The sequence below is a fragment of the Homo sapiens genome, chromosome 1, assembly GCF_000001405.40.
Source record: "Homo sapiens chromosome 1, GRCh38.p14 Primary Assembly".
Classification (NCBI taxonomy): Eukaryota; Metazoa; Chordata; class Mammalia; order Primates; family Hominidae; genus Homo; species Homo sapiens.
Window position 1 is genome coordinate 9,629,474 of NC_000001.11, and position 17,342 is coordinate 9,646,815.

Genomic DNA, 17,342 nt, shown 5'->3' on the forward strand with positions numbered 1-17,342 from the left:
CCCACCACGCTCAGAGGCCTAGAACAAAAACATACCACAAATAGAAATCAAAGCCTGAGAAAGAATCGAGGAGCCACGACCCTGCCGTGGGAAAGGCTGTGTGACCTTGGCCAGGTCACTTCACTTCTCTGAGCGCACTTGCCTGTCTGTAAAATGGGGTCATGGTCTCAACCTTGGGGAGCTGCTGGGAGAAGGTGAGCTAAGATGTCAGAGGCAGGGTGCAGGTGTGAAGTTCGGTCTAAAACAAAGCCCCTCGCCACAGGGTACTCGCCGGACTCCCAGCTCGCCCTAAGGCTCCCCCACCCCTGCAGTCGGGCCGGGACCGCCCCTGAGCACTTCCCCGTAAGGCTGCGGTGCACGGGCTGGGGAGCACTTCTGCACCCTCGCTCTCCACTTCCTGTTTTTCTCCCCAACGAATTTTGCGCCATTACTCTTTCATGGGGTGAGGGGGGAGTGGGGGCGGAGGCGGAGGCCTGCCTGGGAAGGAAGCCCGGGGGTCAGAGGCGCCCAGGACACCACGAGGTTGGGAGAGGAGTGTGCTTTGCACTCTGCACTCTCCAGCTCAGAGTAGCTGAGGATGCTAGGGAGACTGGGGGCTGGCCCACGGGGGGAGCAGAGGAGTCCTCAGTGCGGTCCTCACTCTGAAAACAGCATTTTTCCCTAGGCTTGAGAATGCCTCCGGGATTGGACTGATCCAGGCTGGACCCACGTCTGTCTGGTGATACCAGGGGCAGAGGGACCACTCTGACAGGTGAGTCTAGCCTCCCTACCCCCCGGAGGCCGTCAGGCCTTGGATCATGGACTGCAGGGTCACTCGGTGTCAGGCCCCTCCTTGAAGGGTGTGAAGGGGCTGTTCCTGCACTGGCTAGGATGTGGACACTTGTCCTTTCTCTTCCTCGGCTACAGCCCCCTGGCCCCTGGGCAAAGCATCACCTTGTCCCTTCATGACCACATCACTCATGTATTCCTTCATTCAGCATTTCTACAGACTCACTGGTGATGCCCTCTGGGTGCCAGACACAGGGGAGCAGCCCAGGAGCCTGTCCAGATCCATGTAGAGTCCCTGCTCCCAGGAGCAGCTGAGCGAATAGGCAATCATGGTTGAGTAGACCAAGAGCTGGGAGGGGATGATATAGCCAGGAGTATGATGAAGGGCCCCTTCGGGCAAGGGGGCCAAGGCAGGTAACATCTGTGCTGGGCCCGAATTCTACTGAGTAGTTAGCAAAGAAAGTGAGTGTGTGTGTGTGTGTGTGTGTGTGTGTGTGTGCAGAAGAGGGCAGAAGGAAGTGTGGGGAAGGGCACTCCAGGTAAAGGGAACAGCATGTGCAAACGTCCAGAGTCAGACAGCAAGCCTGGGATGTTCTGGAGCTACAAGTCCCGGCTCCTGGCCCAGCAGGGAGGGCAGAGAGGGGGAAGTGATGGGAGGTGACCCTGGGAGGCTGGCTGGGTTGGCTCCATTCAGATGATTGGTCATCCATTTGTTCTCAAGCTATAGCCTCACCCTGCACACCGGGACAGAGTTCATGCCCCAGCCTAAGCTCAGAAACCAGCTCCCTTTCGCTCAAGCAGGAAAGGGGACTGACTTTACAGCAGAGATGCAGGGTGCTCTTATCAGACCCAGAGTTGCAGACAGCCCAGGGACACTTCTCAGTGCCACTCACCTGTCTGCCCCCATCTGCCCGTCTGCATCACACCTGTCAAGCTGCTACATCCTGGATCCCTTCACCCAAAGAGAACTATGTGTGGTCCCAAGCCCACCTCCCTGGGAAGGACTTGATTAGCCTGTGTTGGATCCAGGCCTCCCTTCCAGTCCGTTCAGCTGGCTAGTGGTCAAGTGTGAACGCTAAGCATCTGTCCTCATGGGTACATGACAAAGGATTACCAAAAGGGGGTCAGACTGGCCGGGTGCAGTGGCTCATGCCAGTAATCCCAGCATTTTGGGAGGCCAAGGCAGGCAGATCACTTGAGGCCAGGAGTTCAAGACCAGCCTGGACAACATGGTGAAACCCCGTCTCTACTAAAAATACAAAAAATTATCTGGGCATGGTGGCAGATGCCTGTAATCCCAGCTACTCAGGAGGCTGAGGCAGGAGAATCGTTTGAACCCTGGATGCGGTGGTTGCAGTGAGCTGAGATGGCGCCACTGCACTCCAGCCTGGGTGACAGCCTGGGTGACAGAGCAAGACTCCAACTCAGAAAAAAAAGGGAGGGGGGCAGGTCGGCCTAATGGCCTAAAGGCCAGTGGTGTCCATTCTAGTTCATTCCATTCTGGTCCTGCCCAGCACAGAGGCCCTTGCCCAGCTCCTTTGGCTTTTCCCAGATATCCTCATTCCAGTTGTCCTTGCTTTACCTCGTCCTGCCACACCTCAAAGTCAATCTCAAATACCTCTCCCCCGTCAAATGAGGTGATCCAAGCCATCTCACCATGTTAAACTGTTGCATCCAGGGCTCTATTCTCAGAGCTGCCATCTTCATCTGATATCCATCCTTCTTCCCTCCCTCCCTCCCTCCCTTCCTTCCTTCTTCTATCTTTCTTTTTTTTATTTTTGTTTTTTTGAGATGGAATTTTGCTCTTGTTGCCCAGGCTAGAGTGCAATGGTGCGATCTCAGCTCACTGCAACCTCCGCCTCCTGGGTTCAAGCAATTCTCCTGCCTCGGCCTCCTGAGTAGCTAGGATTACAGGCATGCGCCACCACGCCCAGCTAATTTTGTATTTTTAGTAGAGATGGGGTTTCTCCATGTTGGTCAGGCTGGTCTCAAACTCCCGACCTCAGGTGATCTACCTGCCTCTGCCTCCTAAAGTGCTGGGATTGCAGGCGTGAGCCACCGCACCTGGCTTCTTCTTTCTTTTTTTTAAAGACAGAGGGTCTCAACTATGTTGCCAGGTTGGAGTGCAGTGGCTATTCACAGGTGCAAGGATAATGCACTACAGCCTCAAACTCCTGGGCTCAAGCGATCCTCCCACCTCAGCCTCCCAAGTAACTGGGACTGCGGCCATGTGCCGTCATGCCCAGCTGCCCTCTGTTTCTGCTGAATCTCTTCCCTGGTGGCTCTCCAGGATCCTCTCAACAGAGGAACAGATCAATTTAACCTCTCCTACCATACTTGATCTATAGAGCAAAAATGTGGATGCAATATACAAAGCACGCGCTGCAGCATTCCAGGTGGGTTGGGTCAATTGAACATTAGGAACAAGGTATCACTTGGGGTTTGCTCTGTGGCTACCTTCCTTGGCCCCTTTGTTGACAAATGTGACTACCCCAAGTTCTGCCCATTGAGAAGGAATCTCTAGATCCCTTCTAGTCTAGAGCCTCTCAGACCCACCCTTGAGAGTTTCTTGGGAAGGCGGCTTCTAGGAGGTGATATAATTACCTTAGCAACCTGATTCTTTTTTTTTTTTTTTTTTGAGACAGAGTCTCGCTCTGTTGCCCAGGCTGGAGTGCAGTGGTGCCATCTCGGCTCACTGCAAGCTCCGTCTCCAGGGTTCAGGCCATTCTCCTGCCTCAGCCACCTGAGTAGCTGAGACTACAGGTGCCTGCAACCACACCCGGCTAATTTTTTGTATTTTTAGTAGAGACGAGGTTTCACCATGTTAGCCAGGATGGTCTCCATCTCCTGACCTCGTGATCCGCCCGCCTCGGCCTCCCATAGTGCTGGGATTACAGGCGTGAGCCACCGTGCCTGATCAGCAACCTGATTCTTGTTGGTGCTGGTACTTTGGCTTAGGAATTCTCCAGGTGGGGATGAGAGATCACAAACCCCAATTTGTCAGGCGTGGTTTCCTGGTTTTCAACTCTCGTAAAACGCTAGTTGGTTGCCTGTAACTTTTATTTGGGATCATGCCATTTACCAATAATCAATGTCGCTCTTGTCGCCCAGGCTGGAGTGCGATGGCGCAGTCTCGGCTCACTGCAAGCTCTGCTTCCTGGGTTCAAGTGATTCTCCTGCCTCAGCCTCCCTAGTAGCTGGGATTACAGGTGCTCACCACCACGCCCAGCTAATTTTTTGTATTTTTAGTAGAGACGGGGTTTCACTATTTTGGCCAGGCTGGTCTCAAACTCCTGACCTCAGGCCATCCACCTGCCTCAGCCTCCCAAAGTACTGGGATTACAGGCGTGAGCCATCGGGCCCAGCTAATGTCATGAAATCTTATGCGGTTGAACATTCAGCCTTAGACTAGGTCATAGGTCATGTCCCCGAGGTTTGGGTTTCTTAGCAGCAAATGTGAGGGCTAATTTCTTCTTTCAGCCTAAGAGTGAAAAGAGGAAATCATCGTCTGGCTTGGGATAGAAAGAAGGTTTTTTTTCTCTAATTTCTCTTGGAATGCTACCTCTGCCTGCCCTTCTACCACTGGACAATAGGAGATACCATCATGTTTGTCTGGGAAGAGGAAGTTCTTAAGAGGGACCAGAGACCTGTAATCCCAGGAGGTTAAGGGTTGTGTGCTCCTGTGGCTCTTTCCAGATATTCCCATTCCAGTTACTAGGCTCACAGACTTTTCCTTTTTTTCTTTTTTTTAGACAGGGCCTTGCTCTGTTGCCCAGGCTAGAGTGCAGTGGCGTGATCTCGGCTCACTGCAACTTCTACTCCAGGGCTCAGGTAATCCTCCCTCCTCAGTTTCCTGAGTAACTGGGACCACAGGTGTGTGCCACCACACCTGGTTAATTTTTGGGTTGTTTTTTTTTTTTTTTTTTTTTTGAGACAAAGTCTCACTCTGTCACTCAGACTGGAGTGCAGTGACATGATCTCAGCTCACTACAACCTCCGCCTTCCAGGTTCAAGCGATTCTCCTCAGATTCTGCCTCAGCCTCCTGAGTAGCTGGGATTACAGGCGTGCATCAGCAGGCCTGGCTAATTTTTGTATTTTTAGTAGACACGGGGTTTCACCATGTTGGCTAGGCTGGTCTTGAACTCCTTACCTCATGTGATCCACCAGCCTCGCCCTCCCAAAGTGCTGGGATTACAGGCGTGAGCTTCCATGCCTGGCCCTAATTTTTGTATTTTTTGTAGAGATGGGGCCTCGCCATGTTGCCCAGGCTGGTCTCAAACTCCTGAGTTCAAGTGATCTGCCCGCCTTGGCCTCCCAAAGTGCTGGGATTACAGGCATGAGCCACTGCGTCCAGCCTCCAAGTTTCTTAACACTTCAGCCTTTGAGTCCCATGAGGTCACTGAAAATAGTTTAACTCATCTGTTAACACAAAACAAGAACTGCCAGTGTCCCATCCAAAAATAGGAAAACCTCATTGCCCCTCACTCTGCCTCGAGTCAGCTAGTTTCATACTTTCTTTGAAAGTAACTTGAAACTTAACACCCCACTTCTGACACCAATATGTGTATTATTTGGGATTTTTTTGTTTTGAATAACAATATCCAACTCAAGAGAGTTTATACTGAGCTGACTATTGTCTCCCCAAAATTTGTGCTTACCCAGAAACTCAGAATGTGATCTTAATTGGAAATAAGGTCTTTGCAGATGTAGTTAGTTGAGATGAGGTCACATTGAACTTGGGTGTCCTTATAGGAAGAGGGAAATTTACACCAGACGAGGTGGCTCACGCCTGTAATCCCAACACTTTGGGAGGCCAAGACGGGTGGGTCACCTGAGGTCAGGAGTATGAGACCAGCCTGGCCAGCATAGTGAAACCCCCTCTCTTAGCCAGGCGTGGTGGTGCACTCCTGTAATCCCAGTTACTCAGGAGACTGAGGCAGGAGAATCGCTTGAACCTGGAAGGTGGAGGTTGCAGTAAGCCAAGATCTCACCACTGTACTCCAGCCTGGGCAACATAGCAAGACTCCATCCTGAAAAAAAAAAAAAAAGCTACAGGAACCAGGAGCTGAAAAGATGAGAATTTTCTTTCTCATCTGTGTCCCTCTCTTCCTCTCTGTGCATCTGCTGCATGATTCTCCCCCACTCTCTCTTCCTCTGCATATCCGCTCCTCTGATTTCTTTAGTCCTTTTGAGGGCAAAAGAGGCCCTGCAGCTCGCTGGCTCCATGTTAGACCACCCACGCTCCAGGTGTCTAAAGAACACTAACTCTATTCCCTTGATTCCAATTCCATATTCCCAGGGAAATCACTGATTGGCTCGCCTTGGGTCAGGTGATACCCCTGGTCTTATCAACTTGGATAGGGTCAAGGGCATGCTGGGCAGTCACACCTGACTGGAGACTGCTGGTGTAGCCATGTGGATGCGTGGGGGATCTCCTAGAGCCGGAGCTGGGCATCCATTGCCATAGCACTGTGCTCTTGCCATCTTGCAATTGCCTGGATTACAGCTGCAACTGGTTGAGGCTCTGCTGTCCACTGACAGACTTCTCCCATGCCAAGTGCATTCCTAAAGGAGTCCTTCTGATGGGTTCCCATCCCTGTACGGGGCTGCCCCTGTTACTGATGGAGCAGGCAGACATGTGAGCATCTGGCTGCCACAAATAGGGCCTGGAGCCCAGACAGATGAAACACTTGCCCATCCAAGGTCCTGGTATGAGCAGCAAGAGGGATTCGCTCTGACTTGGGAAAGGAAGTAAATAAATAAATACCCAGCTTTTTAATCTTACATTTATGTATTTTTATTACACTGTTAGCAAAATGTGAGCAGACAGACAAAAATGGAGATAAAACATTTGAAGCCCCACCTCTCTCTCAGCTTCCATTGTTCTAAGTCCCCTCCCACTGTGCCCATGTGTGTATGTCACACACAGTTGTGACCCAGGTACAAACAATTCTGCATTTTTTTGGGGGGGGACATGGTCTCACTCTGTTGCCCAGGCTGGAGTGCAGCAGTGCAATCTTGGCTCACTTCAGCCTCCACCTCCTGGGTTTAAGCAATTCTCATGCCTCAGCCTCCCCAGTAGCTGGGATTACAGGTGCCCACTACCATACCTGGATAATTTTTGTATTTTTAGTAGAGACAGGGTTTCACCATGTTGGCCAGGCTGGTCTTGAACTCCTGGCCTCAAATGATCCACCCACCTTGGCCTCCCAAAGTGCTGGGATTACAGGCATGAGCCACCTCACCAGGCTTTGCATTGCGTTTTTTCAGCGGAAGACACCATCAGTTCCCATGATGCTGTGGGTCTTCAGAATTGTCATTTTCAGTGGCTGCTTGCTCTTCCATTGAGTGGATGTACCATGCCTTTCTCTGGACGGTTCCAGCCATAGGGAGAAGGCAGCGGCTGGCCCTCCAGGTGGTAATGTGACACATTTTCTTCCTCCCATTTTTGGTTCATGGGCCAACTTAATGTTATCGCTTGTCCAATAAGCCCTATGCCCCTCCTCCTACCCGGCTTCAGGGTTGTAGAAAGGCCACCAAGGAGGGCGAAGCGCACAGCTTAGGGCTTAGGTGGATAGAGTTCATGAACCTCCACCTATCAAGTTGGTGATCTTGGCAAGTTACCTATGGCATGGTTTCTTTTTTTTCTTTTCTTTTCTTTCTTTTTTTTTTTGAGACGGAGTCTCTCTCTGTCACCCAGGCTGGAATGCAGTGGCCCGATCTCGGCTCACTGCAAGCTCCACCTCCCAGGTTCACACCATTCTCCTGCCTCAGCCTCCTGAGTAGCTGGGACTACAGGCGCCCGCCACCACGCCCGGCTAATTTTTTGTATTTTTAGTAGAGATGGGGTTTCACTGTGTTAGCCAGGATGGTCTCGATCTCCTGACCTCATGATCTGCCTGTCTTGGCCTCCCAAAGTGCTGGGATTACAGGTATGAGCTACTGGCCCTGAGGCCACATCTTTATACTTCTCATTTTATTGGCTGCATAATAATCCATAGAAGAGGCCAGGTATGATGGTCCACACCTGTGATCCCAGTGCTATGGGAGGCTGAGGTGGGAGGATTGCTTGAGCCCAGGAGTTTGAGACCAGCCCAGGCAACATAGTGAAACTCCATCTCTACAACATTACAAAAATTAGCTAGGCATGGTGGTGTGCACCTACAGTCCCAGCTACTCCACAGGATCACTTGAGCCCGGGAGATCGAGGCTGCACTGAGCCATGATCACACCACTACACTCCAGCCTGGGTGACAGAGCAAGACCCTATCTTAATAGATAAGTAAATACACAACAGCCAGTTTATTCTCTTCCAGTTCAGGTGGTCAGAAGTCTGAAGTCTCGGTGGAGACAGGGCCACACTCTCTCTGGAGGCTGTAGGGAAGGATCCTTCCTAGCCTCTTCCACCTTCTGGTGGCTCCAGGCACTCCTTGGCTTGTGGCCACATCACTCTGTGGGAGACTAAAATCTACCACCCCAAAATATATTTCTTTGCATATTTTGAGATGGCTCTTTAGATAAGCTGCAGACACGGGAATACCTCTGAAAAGTTGTTCTTCTGTAAAAACCATACACCTGTAAAGAAGTTCTAGGCTGGGCGCCATGGCTCCCAGCACTTTGGGAGGCCAAGGCAGGCGGATCACTTGAGGTCAGGACTTCGAGACCAGCCTGGCCAACATGGTGAAACCCTGTCTCTACTAAAAATACAAAAATAATTAGCCAGCCATGGTGGCAGGCGCCTGTAGTCCCAGCTACTCGGGAGGCAGAGGCAGGAGAATTGCTTGAACCCGGGAGGTAGAGGTTGCAGTGAGTTGAGACTGCGCCATTGTACTCCAGCCTGGGCAACAGAGCGAGACTCTGTCTCAAAATAAATAAATAAATAAATAAATAAATGAAAAAATAAAGGAGCTCTACGTGAGTAAGCAGTGGATGCAAGCAGAGGCTTTCTCTAAGGCTCCTTATCAACCTAAAGATGGGTCTAGGAAAGATCCTATCAGAGGAAAAGAGACTCACAGGCAACCGCCCAGATAGATTGCCACAGACCATCACCTGTTCTGCTGAGGGCAGTTCCAAAATTACCTGAGAGCCGTTATCTGCAGCTTTTCACTCCCTGTGCACTCATGCCTCCCTCACCTCCCCATAGCTTGTCACCCCTCCCTGCAGAACCTCCAAACCCGCTTCCGATGCTATAAAAACTTCAATCATCTAGGCCGGGAGCGGTGGCTCACACCTGTAATCCCAGCACTTTGGGAGGCCGAGGCGGGCGGATCACGAGGTCAGGAGATTGAGACCATCCTGGCTAACACGGTGAAACCCCGTCTCTACTAAAAATACAAAAAGTTAGCGGGGTGTGGTGGCGGGCGCCTGTAGTCCCAGCTACTTGGGAGGCTGAGGCAGGAGAATGGCCAGAACCCGGGAGGCGGAGCTTGCAGTGAGCCGAGATTGCACCACTGCACTCCAGCCTGGGTGACAGAGCGAGACTCCTTCTCAAAAAAAAAAAAAAAAAAACTTCAATCATCTGACCCTTTTGCAAGATTTTTTTTTTTTTTTTGAGACAGAGTCTTGCTCTGTCGCCCAGGCTGGAGTGCCTTGGTGTGATCTCGGCTCACTGCACCCTCTGCTTTCTGGGCTCAAGTGATCCTCCCGCCTCAGCCTCAGGAGGAGCTGGGACTACAGGTGCCCACCACCATGCCCTGCTAGTTTTTGTGGAGATGGGATTTTGCCATGTTGCCCAGGCTGGTCTCAAACTCCTGGGCTCAAGCCATCTGCCCACCTTGTCCTCCCAAAATGTCGGGATTACACGCGTGAGCCATCGCCTCCGGCCTGGGATTAGGATTTGGACGTATCTTTTTAGAGGCCACCATTCAACTCACTACATGTGGGAAATGGTTTCTTCTAATCCTAAACCTTCTCCCTCTCCTGCATGTACACTTTTTCATCCTTGTCTTTCTGTCCTGGGAAAAAGTAACCATCTCTATTCCTTCTCATAGAGGATTTTGGGGATTCACGTGGGGTTACTCCTCACACTAGGTGCTTTTCAAGATAGAGGGCTAACTACCGAGAGTGGGTATTTATCTAGAGAGATAGAGGCTTTTGGAGCAGGAGCACCCTAGGTAGTGGTGGATGGGGCAGGGCCCAGCTCCATCCTGCTGAGCACCCCCGAGAGGGTAACCTATTTGCAAAGCTTTTACTCGTCTCTAAACCACTTTTGCTAAAACGTCTATTTTTAGCCTCACAACTTCTCTGAAGTTGGAGTAACTAACCTCATTTTTACAGAAGAAACAGACTGAAGGGTTGGGGGCAGGGCTGCATTTCAGGGCCCCCAGAAGGGGAGGCTGAGCCCCCCACCCCGGCCCCAAGGACAGAATTTCCAGGGCAGGGCTGGGAGAATAAGGCCTCGCTTTCTGGAGTTTTGCGCCTCCCTCTTCTGGGGCTCTGCCTCTGCCTGCCCCTCAACCTCAACCGTTATCTTCAGGGTTTTTGTTTGTTTGTTTGTTGTTTCTTTGAGACAGAGGCTCGCTCTGTCATCCAGGCTGGAGTGCAGTGGCGCGATCGTGGCTCACTGCAACCTCTGCCTCCCGGGTTCAAGCGATTCTTGTGCCTCAGCCTCCCGAGTAGCTGGGATTACAGGCACCCACCAGTATGCTTGGCTAATTTTTTTGAATTTGTTTTTATTTTTAGTGGAGACGAGGGCTCACTATGTTTCCTAGGCTAGTCTTGAACTCCTCAGTGTAGACAATCCTCCTGCCTCATCCTCCCAAAGTGCTAGGATTACAGGTGGGAGCCACCGTGCCCGACCTCCTTTCTTTCTTTCTTTCATTGCTCAAGTTGTTCTAGCTTTGGCCACTGGAAGCTTTTTCAGTTCATCGCTGTGACCCCCGAGATATGCACCCATCATTGTGGTGTTTTGTTTGGAAGCACTTCTTTTCTTTCTGGAACTTTAAGATGCTCCAGTTTCATCTGTCCGTTTCTTGCCCTCATCCTAGAATTGCCAGTTTCCCCAGGGAGCCCTGGTTCCTTTTGTGGAGGAAAATGGTATCAGAAACCAAGATCCAAGCCAGGCACGGTGGCTCACACCTGTAATCCCAGCACTTTGGGAGGCCAAGGCAGGTGGATCACCTGAGGTCAGGAGTTCAAGACCAGCCTGACCAACATGGTAAAACCTCATCTCTCCTAAAAATACAAAAATTAGCTAGGCGTGGTGGTGGGCGCCTGTAATCCCAGCTACTTGGGAGGCCGAGGCAGGAGAATCGCTTGACCAGGGAGGCGGAAGTTGTAGTGAGCCGAGACTGTGCCATTGTACTCCAGCCTGGGCAACAAGAGCAAAACTCTGTCTCAAAAAAAGAAAAAAAAAAAGAAACGAAAATCAAGATGCTGGTGTGCTGGTGCATTCTCCTTGCTCCTGGGGTGTTGTTGCTTCTAGGTCTTTCCATTTGACTGAGCAAGGAAATGTACGGGTGTCTATTGCAGGCTTTTTCACATGTGAATCACAGTCCCGCCACTCCCCGGCTCAGCCTGGAACCTTCCCTCTGCTTTTCAGTGCTCTTTTGGTCAAATCCAAATCCTCAGCTGCCCCCTCCCGCATCCTCCTTGCTATCTGCACCCAACTTGGGCCTCCCTGCCTCCAGCATGCCACCACTGCCCAGGGCCTTTGCACCATTTCTTCCCAAAGCCTGCGATGCTCTGGCCTTCGAGACCCACGCGGCTTCTCCTCCGTCAGTTCATCCAGGTCCGTGCTCAGCTCCAGTGTCCTGACCTCAAGGAGGCCTTCCTAGTTCTGTAGTCCCCCTTCCCCTGTCTCTCCCCTCCTATCTTACATTTTTCGGCAGCACAACACTGTATCTTATTTTTATTCTTCTTAGTTTCTCTTCCTTACTGAGTATAAACTCCAGGGGGTTGCGGGGGCGGCAGGCCTGGGGCTTGTCCAGTGCTGCATCTCCAGAGCCCAACTGTATCAGGCACAGCTTGCTGCAAGATACACACTTGCTGGATGAATCAGTGTTGCAAAGCCCGGGTCACCTCCAGTGTATGGAGGGCATGAGGTTGAATCCAGGTGCCTGACCCCAAACTCTGCTGCTTCCCCACTTCCTCCACCACCTCTTGAACTTTGTATCAGAAGCAGGACTAGGGATTCATTGAACCCTCCCCCAGCCCTGGGTCAGAGGGTACATTATTGTTCCCTTGTGCCAGATGGGGAAACTGAGGCAGAAGTGACTCCTTCAAGGTCACACAGCCGACAGATGGTGGGGCAGGGATGTGAACCCTAGGTAGCCTGGGTTTTGAGTATGTGTGTTTTACAGAAAGAATTTCTGGGGAGCCCCCATCTAGCTGGACCCAGAAACACAATCTTCACCAGCCCTGGAGTCCTGGAGCACCTGGCCACCTCTGCGCTGTCTGCTCTGGCCCAGAATCAAGTATAAGGGGCACCATCCCCTCCACCTGCAAAACCCACAACCCCTGACCCTCTAAGTCATTCTCCAGCCCATCGGTCACAACCTGGGGATGGAGGGCACAAGGCCAGAGACTCCCAGCTCCTTTTCCCCAGGTATTCCCACCTGGCCACCTCTCAGCCCTCCTTGGAACCTGAGTTCTTGCAAGTCAGACTTTCTAGGAGTGGAATCTGACCTTGGCCTTGTTCTCTAACCATCTGCTCCACCCTTTCTTTGCCATCAACTTCACGTGATCCAGGGCAGCAGCTTTCTAGTTGTGTTGACTGGAACCTACAGTAAGAAATGCATCTGACATCTTGACTTCACACACATTCACACCTAGGAATGGAACCAAAGCCTGGGGAAGCAACACCCGCCCTTACTACAGGGAGTGCAGCCTGACACTGTCTTTCTGTTCTATTTTTTAATTTAATTTAATTTAATTAACTTGTTTATTTTGAACCAGAGTCTCACTCTGTTGCCCAGGCTGGAGTGCAATGGTGCGATCTTGGCTCACTGCAACCTCCACATCCCGGGTTCAAGCAATGCTGGTGCCTCAGCCTCCTGAGTAGCTGGGACTACAGGCATGCACCACCATGCCCAGCTAATTTTTGTATTTTTAGTGGAGACAGGGTTTCACCATGTTGCCCAGGCTGGTCTCGAACTCCTGATTTCAGGTGATCCACTTGCCTCAGCCTCCCAAAGTGCTGGGATTACAGGCGTGAGCCGCTGTGCCCAGCCTCTGTTCTATTTTTTTAAAACTTGGCCGGGCGCCATGGCTCACGCCTGTAATCCCAGCACTTTGGGAGGCCGAGGCGGGTGGATCACGAGGTCAGGAGATCGAGACCATCCTGGCTAACATGGTGAAACCCTGTCTCTACTAAAAATACAAAAAATTAGCCGGGCGCAGTGGCGGGTGCCTGTAGTCCCAGCTACTCAGGAGGCTGAGGCAGGAGAATGGTGTGAACCCGGGAGGCGGAGCTCGCAATGAGCTGAGATAGTGCCACTGCACTCCAGCCTGGGCGAAAGAGCGAGACTCTGTCTCAAAAAAAAAAAAAAAAAACTTGACCCACTGAATGGTTCTCCAGCACACTAGCGTGTCACAACCTGCTGTTGCTGCTATTGAAAAATGCTCTTGGCCAGGCATGGTGGCTCATGCCTGTCATCCCAGCACATTGGGAGGCCAAGGAAGGTGGATCACTTGAGCCCAGGAGTTCAAGACCAGCCTGGGCAACATAGCGAGACCTCGTCTCCAAAAATAAAAAAATTAGCCGGGTGTGGTGGCATACACCTGTGGTCCCAGCTACTTGGGAGGCTGTGATGGGAGGAGGATTGCTAGAGCCAATAGGTCAAGCCATGGTTACACCACTGCACTCCAGCCTGGGGAACAAAATCCTGTCTCAAAGAAAAGAAAAGAAAGAAGAGAAAGGAAGAAAAGAAAGAGAAAGAAGGAAAGGCCAGGCATGGTGGCTCATGCCTGTAATCCCAGCACTTTGGGAGGCCAAGACAGGTGGATCACCGGAGGTCGGGAGTTCGAGACCAGCCTGGTCAACATGGCGAAAACCCATCTCTACTAAATATACAAAAAATTAGCTGGGATTACAGGTGCATGACACCACACCCAGCTACTCAGGAAGCTGAGGCAGGAATTGCTTGAACCTGGGAGATGGAGGTTGCAGTAAGCTAAGATCACGCAATTGCACTCCAGCCTGGGTGACAGAGTGGGACTCCACCTGAAGAAAGACAGAAAGTGAGAGAGAGAGAGAGAGGGGAAGGAAGGAAGGGAGGGAGGGAGGGAAGGAAGGGAGGGAGGGAGGGAGGGAGGGAAGGAAGGGAAGAAAGATTAAAAAAATAAATAAATAACTCTTCTAGAGCAGAAACATCCAATCCTGCAAAGCCCAAAGATGCCGTTCTAGAATATAACTAAGATAGCTCAAAAACTCACATTTTCTGAGGGTGCCCTCTGTGTCAGGTACAGTTATAAACATTTTACATATATTAATTCATTTAATCCCAACAGCAGTTCTGAAAGTTGAGCACCATTATTAGTGTCCCCAGGCTACAGATGAGGAAGCAGAGGCATAGAGAGGTTAAGTCACCTAAGGTCACACAGCTCCACAGTGGCAGGGCCAGGCAGTTTGGTTCCAAAGAAGGTGCTCTTAACCCCTAAGCTTCACTATACTTTTCCTGGCCAAAGCAAAGGGTAAAGACTCGAGCTGGGTAGTTTCTGCCTCGCCTGGAAGGAAAAGACCCACACCCAGCAAAGTGGGCTTCCTGCCAGGATGGGGCATGGAGGCAGTGTCTGGAGTCCCTTGTGCAGGGGCTGAAGAAGTGGGCTTCTCACACTTGCAGCCCCCACTCCCTGGGTGCTCAGAGTGGCTGCCCTGTGATAACCCTTCTTATGGGCATGCGTGGGTGGTGGTGGTGAAGCCACTCCGGGTTGAGCAAAACAAAAATGTTTGCAGCATTTGTGAGAAGAAGCTGTGAGTTGCTTGGCTTTTGGAGGGGAAGTTCTGCAGGGACGTTCTGCAGGAGAGGGTTACAGGAAAGAAGAAAGCCTGGGCTGGAGTGGTGGCTCACGCCTGGAATCCCAGCACTTTGGGGGGCTTGAGTCAGGAGGATCACCTGAGGTCAGGAGTTTGAGACCAGCCTGGCCAACATGGTGAAACCCTGTCTCTACTAAAAATACAAAATTAGCTGGGCGTGGTGGTGGGCGCCTGTAGGTAGTCCCAGCTACTTGGGAGGCTGAGGCAGGAGAATCACTTGAACCCAGGAAGCGGAGGTTGCAGTGAGCCGAGATCTCACCACTGCATTCCAGCCTGGATGACGAGGAAGACTCCGTCTCAAATAAATAAATAAATAAATAAATAAATAAATAAATAAATATGTAACCTTCAAGAACAGCCATCATCGTTCTTCAAGTTCCTGATAGAATCGGCTGCTGCCTTCCTCTATGCAGTTTCTGAGCTCTCTAGCTTTATTTTTAACTGTTGTCATGTGTGCCTTGGAGGAAGCTACCTCAAGTTCCCTTTGAATTGTCAAAAAAAATGAACTAGTTGCAGTGGAGAATGGACAGCAATCCTAGAAGAAAAATGGCCCCTTAGCTGCAAGAAAGTCAACCAACATGCATTACTTACATCAGCTCTGGGGCCTTCCGCTCCTTTCTCAGGAAATTAATACTGATTGGGAAATACTTTGGCCCCATTTGATGGAAGAGAAAAGAGGTGTTAGTCATTAAAGGGTGGGGCTGGTCAGTGGAGAACAGGCTTGGACGGGCAGAAGCACACTGCAGGCCCTTCCGCAGAGCTTGCCCAGATCTCCAGGCCTATTTTTCTTTTCTTTTCTTTTCTTTTCTTTTTTTTTTTTTTTTTTGAGACGGAGTCTTGTTCTGTCACCCAGGCTGGAGTGCAGTGGCGCAACCTCGGCTCACTGCCACCTCCGCCTCCTGGGTTCAAGTGATTCTCCTGCCTCAACCGGTAGCTGGGATTACAGGCACCCACCACCACACCTGGCTAATTTTTGTGTTTTAGTAGAGATGAGGTTTCACCTGTTGGCCAGTCTAGTCGCAAACTCCTGACTTCAGGCGATCCACCTGCCTCGGCCTCCCAAAGTGCTGGGATTAGAGGCGTGAGCCACCGCTTGCCCAGCTTGAATGTTAAATTTAGCTTAAGCTTCCTGGCACCCCAAGCAAAAGAGAGGGTCATGATAAGTCCCTAGGGTCACGGTTTCAAAAAGGAAGTGTATCAGGTTTTCAGGAAAGTGAAACTTCTATTTTATTTTATTTATTTATTTATTTATTTTTTTGAGATGAAGCTTCGCTCTTGTTGCCCAGGCTGGAGTGCAATGGCATGATCTCGGCTCACTGAGGCAATTCTCCTGCCTCAGTCTCCCAAGTAGCTGGGATTACAAGTGCCTGCCACCAGGAATGGCTAATTTTTTTTTTTTTTTTTTTGAGACAGAGTTTCGCTCTTGTTGCCCAGACTGGAGTGCAATGGCATGATCTTGGCTCACTGCACCTCTACTTCCTGAGTTTAAGCAATTCTCCTGCCTCAGCCTCCTGAGTAGCTGGGATTACAGGTGCCCGCCACCATGCTCAGCTAATTTTTTGTATTTTTAGTAGAGATGGGGTTTCACCTGTTGGCCAGCATGGTCGTGAACCCCTGACCTCAGGTGATCCACCTGCCTAGGCCTCCCAGAGTGCTGGGATTACAGGCATGACACTGTGCCTGGCCGTATTTTTATTTTTTATTTTTTATTTTTTTATTTTTATTTTTATTTTTAGTAGAGATGGGGTTTTGTCACGTTGGCCAGGCTGGTCTCAAACTCCTGGCCTCAGGTGATCCGCCCACCTCAGCCTCCCAAAGTGCTGGGATTACAGGCGGGAGCCACCGCACCTGGCCGAAAGTGAAACTTCTTAGGACAGAGGCCTAACGAGACCCATGGCATGGTGAAAGTAGCAAGGATCTGGAAGAAGTTATTATAATAGATATTTATAGACTGTGTGGCCCTGAAAAAGGACTCAACTTTCCTGAGCCTCAGTTTTCTCATCCGTAAATTGGGGATAAGATTTACCTTGCTGGGCGGTTGTACGTATCAGGGAGAAAATATAACTTCTCCTCAGCCCCGGTAAGTTCATAGTTGGGACAGCCCGCCGTAACAAAAGACAGATTCACGTGAAAACCAAGCAAGTTTATTAACAGATGCAGTGCACATCACGAGGCAGAAACCTCAATGAAAGGTGACCCGAAGCAGTGGCTCAGAACTCTGGCTTACCCAGAATCTTTGACAAAGAAGAATGAATTTTCAAGAAGTGACAAGACAAGGGAAAGCAGTTTTAGGCTTCCAGAGGTGGGGAACTGTGGGAAGGTAAACATATGGGAGAAAAGGAATGGAGGAAGGTTTGTTTGTAGACTCTTCTGGTGTCTCCGAGCTGATAAGCGTTGTCTCCAGTAAAGTAGAATTTATGTCCTGTATTTAGGCATGTAAAAAGTCAAGACTGAGCCAGGTGTGGTGGCTCACGCCTGTGGTCCCAGCACTTTGGGAGGCCGAGGCGGGCGGATCACCTGAGGTCAGGAGTTGGAGACCAGCCTGGCCAACATGGTGAAACCCTATCTCTACTAAAAATACAAAAATTAGGGCCGGGC

The 17,342-nt window shown here is 50.7% G+C and overlaps 1 protein-coding gene across 5 annotated transcripts in view, besides 3 other annotated features; it reads left to right on the forward strand.

The window, feature by feature from the left end:
• The window catches only part of PIK3CD (phosphatidylinositol-4,5-bisphosphate 3-kinase catalytic subunit delta), a 101,857-nt gene that overhangs the window by 2,216 nt on the left and 82,299 nt on the right, over nucleotides 1-17,342 (forward strand). For 3 of the 5 annotated variants that reach the window (XM_047422555.1, XM_047422551.1, XM_047422561.1), the window contains exon 1: nucleotides 500-751. The gene's annotated coding sequence lies outside the window, so the exon portion shown is untranslated. Of the gene's footprint in view, nucleotides 1-439; nucleotides 752-17,342 lie in introns of those variants that run through there. The other 2 variants (XM_047422553.1, XM_047422557.1) reach the window with 2 other exon arrangements.
• Nucleotides 443-552: a silencer, noted in NCBI's record as "silent region_227". NCBI's record gives its function as "represses an Ori minimal core promoter by ATAC-STARR-seq in GM12878 lymphoblastoid cells {active_cell/tissue: GM12878}" and the evidence as "EXISTENCE:reporter gene assay evidence [ECO:0000049][PMID:35858748]".
• Nucleotides 1,053-1,102: an enhancer, noted in NCBI's record as "active region_132". NCBI's record gives its function as "activates an Ori minimal core promoter by ATAC-STARR-seq in GM12878 lymphoblastoid cells {active_cell/tissue: GM12878}" and the evidence as "EXISTENCE:reporter gene assay evidence [ECO:0000049][PMID:35858748]".
• Nucleotides 1,133-1,192: an enhancer, noted in NCBI's record as "active region_133". NCBI's record gives its function as "activates an Ori minimal core promoter by ATAC-STARR-seq in GM12878 lymphoblastoid cells {active_cell/tissue: GM12878}" and the evidence as "EXISTENCE:reporter gene assay evidence [ECO:0000049][PMID:35858748]".